At 43.8% G+C, this 10,634-nt stretch overlaps 1 long non-coding RNA gene across 1 annotated transcript, besides 2 other annotated features; it reads left to right on the top strand.

The window, feature by feature from the left end:
• Positions 1–10,634, top strand: LOC105375578 (uncharacterized). The gene is made up of 3 exons (XR_928188.3): positions 1–994; positions 6,111–6,283; positions 10,578–10,634. It is a non-coding gene; the product is annotated as an uncharacterized LOC105375578 (long non-coding RNA).
• Positions 733–1,932: an enhancer, noted in NCBI's record as "BRD4-independent group 4 enhancer chr7:153129747-153130946 (GRCh37/hg19 assembly coordinates)". NCBI's record gives its function as "activates an origin of replication core promoter dependent on BRD2, P300/CBP, MED14 and CDK7 cofactors, and independent of BRD4, by STARR-seq in HCT116 cells {active_cell/tissue: HCT116}" and the evidence as "EXISTENCE:reporter gene assay evidence [ECO:0000049][PMID:35650434]".
• Positions 3,065–3,886: an enhancer, noted in NCBI's record as "OCT4-NANOG hESC enhancer chr7:153127793-153128614 (GRCh37/hg19 assembly coordinates)". NCBI's record gives its function as "activates a minimal SCP1, AML or CMV promoter by ChIP-STARR-seq in naive and primed H9 embryonic stem cells {active_cell/tissue: H9 hESC(naive and primed)}" and the evidence as "EXISTENCE:reporter gene assay evidence [ECO:0000049][PMID:30033119]".

Below are 10,634 nucleotides of genomic sequence, written 5' to 3'. Positions count from 1 at the left end.
CTCAAAGCGTGATAACAGTTGGGCCTGGCCTAGACTTGGGGTTCGGGAAGGCCTGTCAGGGGAGACGATGCTGCACAGAAGCAGGAAGAGTCCCAGAAGAGGGAAAGTGGGAAGGGCTAACAAAACCCAGGATGCTGGAACATAAAAAATGGGTGAGTCACACAAGAGGAACCCCAAAATAGCCCAAGCTGGATGATGCAGAGCTTCAAAAGTCACAGTAAGGATTTGGAGTTTAGTGCTCGTGTCCTGGGAAGCTAGAGAAGGGCTTTTCAGGGACGAGATATGAGCTGAGAGAGATGTTAAGTGGTGCCAGAGAAGAGTGGTGTGACAAAGATGTGACACCCTGACATCATTCTTACCGAGGGTTCTTACCACAAAGCAGGGCAGGGAGGTGCTGGGGTGAGACCCCAGTCTCCTGGCATTTAGTTCCATGCTCTTTGACTTTTACTTCTCTGCCCATGAGTTAAAGTGCTCACAAAAATCCAGGCAAAACTTTTCATTTAAACATGTTGGATTGCCATGCATTTGTTTTTCCCTGCCCCAGAAATGTCTGTGCAGAAATAAAAATACAACAAATTCACAGAGGAAAAAAATAGAAGATAAAACTTTTTTTAAAAGAGGAAATAAATAATAAAATAAAAATGTTGATAATGAAAAATGGATGAGAGAAGATAACTCGGTTGACAGAATGGAGGAGGAGGAAACACATGTGTCCACAAAAAGAAAAACAAAGTGGGAGGCGAAAGAAAAGCAAGCTGATGTCCCACAACAGGCTCCTGGAAATGCTCAAAATTGAGGGTAGATGTCTCCTTTTAAAAACAGCAGGACCACCTAAAAGTCTGTATAAAGAAAATTTCCATCCCAAGTTGCCCTTTCTCCACTAAATGGCAGGTGGAAGGTTCCTTCTCAGGAGAAATTGAACCAGAGAGTCTCTTGGAGTGGCAGACGACATAGATGGGAGGAGGAGGTGCCCTCTGAAGCCTTCAGTCAGCAGGTGAGTCCCAGCCGTGTTCCCCAGTGATACCAGAGTTAAGAAGAAATTACTTAGGCAGATAGTGAGGGTACGGAAGTCCACAGAAGGAAAAATCGAGCTGCAGACATAGATGCTGGCAGTTGTGCGAATCATGTTCAAAATGGCGGCCGCATCTTCCCTTCTCTCTATCAGCTACATGTACAGTAAGGAGCAGACAAGATGGCGCAGGTCACTGGGAGAGTTAATTTGCATAATAAGATTAGGGTGGGGCTGCCAGCCTTCCCCAATGTAAACGTCATAGCTGATTGAACCAATCTGTGAGCCCTGTATAAATCAGACACCACCTCCTCAAACCTGACTATAAAATCTGGGGCATCCACCACCCTTAGGTCCTTTCTGCTGGGAGACCCCTCTCTCTGTAGAAAGAGCTGTTTCTCTTTCTCTTCTCTTCTGCCTATTAACCCTCCACTCCTAAACTCCCCGTGTGTGTCCCTGTCCTAAATTTTTCTGCCACACGATGACAAACCCCAGGGTATATACCCCAGACAATGTAGCAGCTTCTCCAGCAGACGGATCAGTACAGAATAACCTGAGAAATGGCAGGTATATTGGACTTCGGGGAGTAAATTATTCTGAAGGAGATAGCCTGAAAACACTCTATCATTTAAATGTTTTCCAGTGAAAGGTACTTGTGATCAGCAGAATGATGGCCCCCAAAGATATCCAGGTTTGAATCCCCAGGACCTGTGAATACATCACCTCTCAAAGCAAACGGGACTTTGCAGCTGTAATTAAATTAAACATCTCGAGATAGGAAGACGATCCTGGATTAGCCGGAGAATAGGGCCTGGAGGCAGGGAAACTAAGGACTTCTGAGACCTAAATCAAATGGAAACACTTCAGCAATGACAGGAAAGCCTTTCATTTACATACACCCAGTATATGACTTTGTAACTTTACTTCATCCTCTTCATTATATACAGCATACACCAAGTAACCAATGGAAACCTCCAGAGGGTATTTAAATCCCAGAAAATTCTGTAACTGGTCCCTTGAACCACTTGCTTGGGTCTGCTCCCACCCCGTGGAGTATGCTTTCATTTTCAATCAATCTCTGCTTTTGTTGCTTCATCCTTTCCTTGCTTTGTTGGTGCGTTTTGTCTAATTCTTTGTTTAAAGCACCTAAAGCCTGGTCCCCCTCCACCGGTAATGGGCCCTATCAAATTACCTGCGTCCTTACAAGAGAAGAATCTGTCCCAGTTGTGTTAAGAGGAAAACATGATGCTGCAGAAGGGCCAGGAGGAAGCAATGTGGTTGACTTGGAAGATGAAAGTAGGGGCCGTGTGGAAGGAATGTGCGCCGCATCTAGAAGTTGGAAAAGGCAAGGAAACAGCTTCTCCCTAGAGCCCCAGAAGGAGCCTTCCCTGCAGATGCTTTAACTTTAACCCCGTGAGACCCACTTGGGACTGATACGGCTCTGACGAGTGGAGGAACACCAGGGCTCTTATCTCATGCTGAATTAGATAAGATAACACAGACACATGTGGAGTGGTTTTAAGGAGCGGAGAGTTTAATAAGCAAGAAAGAAGGGAGAAGAAAGAAGGAAGAAGCTCCCCTGTACAGAGACAGAGGGAAGGGTGTTGTACCCAAGCGAGTTAGAAAAACGCCACACACTTTGAGACGAATTAAGAGTCTTTTATTAGCCGGTGACTGAGACATGGCTAACGCTCAAAATTCTCTCAGCCCCGAGGAAGGGGCTTGATTAACTTTTATACCTTGGTTTAGGAGGGGGTGGGGGTCTAGTTAAAACAATTTTACAGAAGTAAAGTAGTCAAAAAGTTAAAAGGATAAATGGTTACAGGAAAGTAAACAGTTCCAGGTGCAGGGGCTTTAAGACTATTACAAGGTGATAGACCCGGGGCTTTGGGCGTTATCAATCAGACGAATTCCTGGGAACTGCGGATATAGCTTGCCACAGTATCTTATCAGTTAATTGCATTCTTGGATGTGCTGGGAGTCAGCTTGCACAAGTTAAGTCCTTGAGGAAGGGGCTGCCAGTGAAAGAGCCAAGATGGAGTCTGTCGGGCTCTCCTAGCTAAGGGAGAGTCAATTCAGGTGGAACCATGGCTAGGTGATTAAAGGAAAAGGGAGAGTCTAAAAACAGAGTTAGTAAAAACCAGGTTGGGCATTACAGGGGGCGCTCCAAAGTGGAAAGAGGAGACCCCATGTGCCACACCATGGAAAAGTGGCTGCTTATATGAGTAGGCTGAAGGAGGTGGTGTCTGATTTGCATAGTGCTCAGGGGATTGGTTTGCCCAGGTATGTAATTCATGTAGCCTGCAAAAAAACTGGCCTACCCTAGTCTTTTAATATGCAAATACAGGGCACGATGATGTTCTATACATATAGGGATATGTGGGGGCGGCCCTGTTGCCAGGCACATGTTGGGGCAAGTGCAAGAAGACTACGACAATGACAATGGTGGACAGAGTTTCTAATGGCTTACATTTGCATATTAAAGGTGGCCAGCCTGGGTTGACCCAGTTTCTAATGGCTTGCATTTGAATATCAAAGGTTGCCAGCCAGGGTCTAAGAGCCAGGGCTTTTCTGCTAGACAAGAAGCAGCGTTTCTGGAGCTGCTTTAAAAGAGACAAAAACTTTCCAAGGACCCCGTTTCCTCTCTATCTGCCTAAAATAATTGTTTTCTTTTTTTCTTTTTTTTTTTTTTTTGAGACGGAGTCTCGTTCTGTGGCCCAGGCTGGAGTGCAGTGGCGCAATCTCGGCTCACTGCAAGCTCCGCCTCCTGGGTTCACACCATTCTCCTGCCTCAGCCTCCCAAGTAGCTGGGACTACAGGCGCCCACCACCACACCCGGCTAATTTTTTTGTATTTTTAGTAGAGACGAGGTTTCACCGTGTTAGCCAGGATGGTCTCGATCTCCTGACCTCGTGATCTGCCCACCTTGGCCTCCCAAAGTGCTGGGATTACAGGCGTGAGCCACCACACCCAGCCAATAATTTCTTAATTAACTCCTACCACAGGACTTTTGCACTCCAGAACTGTAAGATGATGAATTTGTATGGTTTCAAGCCATTCAGTAGGTGATAACTTGCTACAGTGATAATAGAAAATGAATTCAGCATCTTTCCCAAAAAGTGACTAAGAAGCAGCAGCAAAGAGTGTGGACGTCCCTGTTGACCGTGTAAACTATAAGGTCTCAACCAATTTAGGAAATTTATTTTGCCAAAGTTAAGAACATGCCTATGACGGCCTCAGGAAGTCCTGATGACATGTACCCAAGGTGACTGGGGTACAGCTTGCTTTTATACATTTTAGCGAGACATGAGATTTCGATCAATACATGTAAGACTTACATTGGTTCGATCTGGAAGGGTGGGACAACTTGAAGCAGAGGTGGGGGTGGGAGATGGAGGGGGGCTTCCAGGTCCCAGGTAGATTTAAACATATTCTGATTGGCAATTGGTTGAAAGAGTTATTATCTATAGGAAAGAATGTTTGGGTTATGATAAGGGGTTGTGGAGACCTGGGTTTTATTATGCAGATGAAGCCTCCAAGTAGGGGCTTTAGGGAGAATAGATAGTAAATGTTTCTTATCAGACTTAAGGTCTGTGTTGATGCTAAGGCTGTAGGGGAATAGTGAGGCATGTCCAATCCCCACTTCCCATCATGGCCTGAACCAGTCTTTCAGGTTAAATTTTAGGGTGTCTTGGATGAGGAGGGAGTCCATTCAGATGGTTGGGGGCCCCTCAAATTTTATTTTTGCTCTGAGCAGCAACCCTCTGAGCTCTGCTCTTCAGCAAAGGTGCTTCTTCCTGATGCATCTGCTCTCTGCCCCTTAGGATTAAAACAAAACAAAACAAAAAACAAAAAACAGCACAGGCTTTTCCATTCTATCCAGAAGGCACGGTTGTTCTGCTCACCACCCAATAGGAATAAAAGGTCCTCTGTGATTCATGAAAGGGATAGTTTTGTGGCCTAGACCAGAGAAAGAAAGAAAATTAAACTTGCTCCCCTCAGGGTGAGGGCCTCTACCTCTTCCTCTGGCTCAATTTCTTTCCTTCCAGTTGGTATCCCCTGCTCTATTTACAGTTATCCAAGGGGCTAGACACAATGCCCTGGCAGAAATCATGCCACCCTGGCCCTGACTTTTCAGCCTGTAAACCTGACCTGTGTTGCTTCCCTTTCCTCTTCTGACTTTAAAGAGTCATGTCACCCTCTAGCACATAAGACTACCATCTTGTAGGACAATCATTCAACAGATTTGCATTAATTATCTATTGCTGCATAACAAATTACCCCAAAACTTAGATTTAAAGCAGTAAACATGTATTTTCTTGCAGTTTCTGGAGGTTAAAAATCCAGGAGCAGTTTATAGGAAAGTTGTAGCATGAACGCCGTCATGAGGCAGAGGCTGCAGTTGTCTGAAGGCTGGACCGAGGCGGGAGAGTCCACTTCTAAGAGGCTCATTCATGTGCCTGGCAGGATAGCTCTAGTTATGGGCAGGAGGCTTTGGTTTCTTGCTGTGTAGACCTCTCTATAGTACTTCTTAAGGGTCATCACAACTTTGCAGCTGGATTCCGCCATACTAATGAACTAAGAGGTAACCAAGCAGCAGCCATTATGCCTTTTGTGGCCTGACCTTGGAAATCACACAATGTCTTACTGGTTACACAGTCATCCCTCTTCCACGTGGGAAGGACTAGACGAGGCAATGGCTACCAGGGCATGAGCATGGTTGGAGATTATTTTGGAGCCTCATTACTTTTTCTACAATTTTAGGAAAAGAAAATAATAATGAAGCCAGGATTCAGTGGTTTATAAGATGCTCACGACTCTGCATATCATGTTGACTTGTTGCAAGGACTTCATTATCCATGACCCACAATGAGCCAGTCACGTCAGCTTAGCTCTTCCCTTCTACCAGCAGTGTCATGACAATTTCCCCCCACCCAACCCTTCTCTTTGTGTGTGGATTACAGATTAGAATCCATTGATTAGAGCCATTCTTGATTAATTAACAGGTGAGGAGAGGAGGCATTGAAAGTCAGTGTTAGTGAAGAATGTCAATCATTGCTGAGAAAACTTCTCTAAGCCCCATGTTTCTTCTACTACTCAGAGGGATGGCACTGCCCCTTCAGACTTTCTGAGACATCAGAAGAGTTCTATGTGATTCACATAGAGCAGAGTTCGGCGTTGCAGACAAATCAAAGGCCTACCACAAATTTGACTTAATGAATCACTTTGACTTTGTTACTGAGTTTACTCATCTATTGAACAAGAGGAGAACAGGTCAGTGGTTCTTGAATTTGACTGATTATCTCATTCTTCTGTGCTAAAGTCAGATTGCCAAGCCATACCTTTGAACACTATGGGTCAGTTGGTATATGGTATATTTCCCAGAACCCACGTCTGATATAAGTTACTTCAGATGATCTGATGGTTTAGGCACTAGCTCAGACTTTCTTGAGATGGCAGATCCTCTTACTATGGGGAAAGAGGTACTGTGAGATGTTTTTCCCCTTAAATGAATTTCTGTATCATTTGACATGGACTAAATCAGGAGTCCCCAACCCCTAGGCCACAGACCAGTTCATGGCCTGTTGGCAACCAAGCCACACAACAGGAGGTGAACTGCTCATATGAGGGATCTAGGCTGCATGCTCCCTATGAGAATCTAACTAATACCTGACGATCTGAGGTGGAAGAGTTTCATCCCAAAACCATCCCCTCTACCCCGCTGCCCTATCTATGGAAAAATTGTCTTCCACAAAATTGGCCTCTGGTGCCAAAAATGTTGGGGACCACTGGACTAAATAATCAGAAGATTGTGTTCCAGCTATAAATTTCTAAAATCTTATGCTTCTAGACAGAAAGAAAAGTTGTGTACGGTTTGCAAAATCTTATTACAGTAGATTTGGCATAGAATTGATTTATCCATAAGTTTGTAATGATTATCACTTTCCTCTGGAACAGTCATTCTAGAGCTCTAGTGTCGAGAAAAACCACCTAGGACACATGTTACAATGTGGATTCTTGGGCTCCACCTCCAGATGTTATATAATTCAATAGCTGGAGAACATGTTGGATTGAAAGCTACGCGATACCAACACTGCACTTCCCAAAGTGTCTGCTGAGAAGGACAACACTCCCTCAAAAAACAAATTCACCTAAATTATACATTTAAAGTCATGTTAACTCCTGGTCACACCTGGGAGCACATGACCTGTTTTCAGATTTCTGAATATGAGCCTAGAATTATCCTCCTAGACTAGGGTTTCCAAAACTTCCCTGATGATAAGAACAGGCTGGTGGTGCTCGTTAAATGCAATGCATAGAAACCAGATCTCTTCCCTGATTCAAATTTGGAATACCTAGGTTGTTTTGTAAACAAGTATTCCAGGCAGGTTTGGGAAATTCTGTTCTTAGAAGCTGTAGGTTGAGAAAATCTAGAGATAGTATATCCTCATCTTGTCCTTGTGTGGATGAGGCGAAGGAGGCCACCCACCTGGTCAAGCGTCACAGCTGGCTAATCTCCACTTGAACTGCATATTGTCTTAAAGGTTTTTTAATACTGGTCTTAAGAAGTGGTGTAAGCTTGTGTCAAGTTTACTTGGTCTCACCAGAGAGGAATTAAAGTAATAAGACAATGAGAGTCAGGAAGGAAAAACTAATTAGCAAATTCATTTTATGCCCTGTCAAAATAAAAAAGGGAAAAAGGAAAGACAATAAAGACTCTTAAAAATTGTTTTTTAACCCCATGAACCAGAGAACTCCTGGAGTCCAGGAACTGACAGCTGCAGTAGGAATTAGAAGACAAATAAGCTATTCCAATTATAAATGGGAAACATGCTTTTTAACCACTGGCTACTTTCTCTATATTATTGTAAGGATTACCAATTCCAGTAATAATCACAGGAATACCTAATTTGGAGGAGATCCCTAATGATTATAAATTATAATTTCTTATGACAGTAGAAACAGGCACTCTTTAGATAGTTCCGTGGAGACCATATTACAGAACAAGAAGATATTGAAAAATGTTTATGAAGACCAATAAGGAAATTCGCTTTCTTGATTCCAGACTGCTGGAGGGGCTTCCTGTTGAGAGGGTGCTAAAATGAGAGCCCCTACCCACTCTGGGTGGCTAAGAAGCTCCTGGGCTCTACCTTGCTACTGACATCAGGCAGTCAAAACAGAGTCCTAGGAGTGTAGAAAACAGTCCAGGCTCAGAAGGAGGGGGTACAGGCTTGAATTTTACAAACAGAAGAGTAATGCCTTTAGTGACTCCTTGATCTATGCTGAAGGCCCTAACGAGCTGGGGCCTGCTGAGGGTTCTCCACTCAGAATGGAGCATTAGACCCACAGAAGGGAGGACTCTACACCTCCAGCCCTTTCCACCTCCTCTCCATTTTCTCACTTGCTCTTCCCCAGGAAAGAAAGAGTGAATGTCATTGGCTAGGTCTTGACAGTTATTGGTCCATACTTTAAAAATAGGTGCTGTCTCTGCATTCTAAGTCGGTGCTGAAGCACAGAGCACTCTGCTACAGGTATACTCTTTCTGTTTCCGTTGTCTGACTTCAGGTGGGTGGGGATCCCTCACTTAGTCTCTCTGTAGGGTAAGGAAATGAGGAATGCCCTGCTTTGACAACCTTTCAACTCTGTTTTCCTCCTTTCTTCCTATCTTCAAATGTACTAGAGAGTTTGAATTTTTTTCCATCTACCCAACTCAGAAAATGGACTTCAATTCATTAACCTGGGTTCTCTCTTACCAATTATTATAAGCTATCCTAGTCTGTTTTGTACTGTTATAAAGGAATACCTGGGCCTAGGTAGTTTCTAAAGAGAAAAGGTTTATTTGCCAGGATTCTGATAGATGAAAAGTTTGAGACTGGACATCAGTGTCTGGTGAGGGCCTCAGGCTGCTTCCACTCATGGCAGATCCTGTGTGTAGAGATCACACCACCAGAAAGCAAGCAAGATGGGGAGATGCCAGGCTCTTTTTAACAATCATCTCTCTATGGAACTAAAAATGTAGGAACTCACTTGCCCCCAAGGGAGGGCATTCATCTATTCATGGGGGATCCACATACATGACCCAATACCTCCCATTAGGCCACACCCCCACATTAGGGTCAAATTTCAAAATGAAGTTCAGAGGGAGAAAACATCCAAACCATAGCCCAAGCCTATATTTGAAGGACTGCAGGGTTCTTCTTAGTGGTTCTGTCACCATGACTAATACAATTTAGGTATATTCTCCAATGCTCAGAACCCTGAAGAGCAGAAAAATAGAGTACTACCTTGAGTCTTTAAGAAGTTGCATCCAAAGGTTGTGGGTGATTTTGAGTTCTGTGGACAAATTCCCTTGTTTTTTGTTTGTATGTTTGTTTGTTTGTTTTTTGTTTTATTGAGACAGAGTTTCGCTCTTGCTGCCCAGGCTGGAGTGCAATGACACGATCTCGGTTCACCGCAACCTCCATCTCCCAGGTTCAAGCAATTCTCCTGCCTCAGCCTCTGAAGTAGTTCGGATTACAGGCATGTGCCACCACGCCCAGCTAATTTTGTATTTTTAGTAGAGGTGGGGTTTCTCCATGTTGGTCAGGCTGGTCTCAAACTCCTGACCTCAGGTGATCTTCCCACCTCAGCCTCCCAAAGTGCTGGGATTACAGGCGTGAGCCACCGTGCCTGGCCTAATTCCCTTGGTTAAGCTTGACATTACTCCCTACTGGTTGTGTGACCTTGAACACATGATTTACCTTACTTGCCTTCAATTTCCTCATCTGTAAATTAGAGAAAATAATAGTAGGTAACTCAAAACACTTTTGTGAAGATTAAAATGAGTTAATACATATAAAGCATGATGTGTAAAATGTCTAGCACAAAGCAAAGAATAAGTATCAGTCTTTACTACTGTTCTATTATTATTATTATTATATCATGGAAAGAATTCATCACATTAAGAATCAATGTTCAGGTTGATGGTGTATGTCTCTGAGGACTTTGAAGGCATGACATAGACAAGTTAAATGTGTTCGGCATTAAGCTCGATGTTAATCAACAACCACAAAAGCTGATCTGTTCTTACATGTTGCCCATAGAAGTACATCATCCAGATTGAAGAGTTCATCATCCTGGACTCCTCTCATTAGGCTGAAGTGTGTCTGTGGCAATGCCCTCTCTGTGAGGGCACAAAATTAATGAGCGTTAGCAAATGAGAGCACAAACAAAGGACAGTAACCACGATGCTAAACATGGGAAAACAACACAAAGAGGGCTTAGAAATTCTGGAAAATTTTAACCTAGAGAAAAGAGCAGAGCAATGGCAGATGGTGCAAAGTCACAGTAGGATGGCCTTGGGAAAAGATCATTCACCTGTGCTGTCGTGCGGACGTCTACTTGTGTCTCTGGCCCTGGCATGCTGTGTGACCGAGCGTGCTTTGCTGCGCCCAGCTGATCTGCATTTTTCTCATCACATAAGGAGGCTTCACTTCTTCCAGTTTTAATATTGCAGGATGTTGAAGATAGGCTATCTTTGGATCCCACATCCTACCATTTACCTACCTCATTCTCTTCTCCCCTTTAGATCTCTGACTGCTGAAGTATAAATACAAACAACGGAGTCAAATTGGAAATAGGATAA

Source organism: Homo sapiens, chromosome 7 (genome assembly GCF_000001405.40).
Source record: "Homo sapiens chromosome 7, GRCh38.p14 Primary Assembly".
In the NCBI taxonomy this organism is placed as follows: Eukaryota; Metazoa; Chordata; class Mammalia; order Primates; family Hominidae; genus Homo; species Homo sapiens.
Note: the sequence above shows the minus strand (reverse complement) of the source record. Positions and strands in the feature narration are given on the sequence as shown.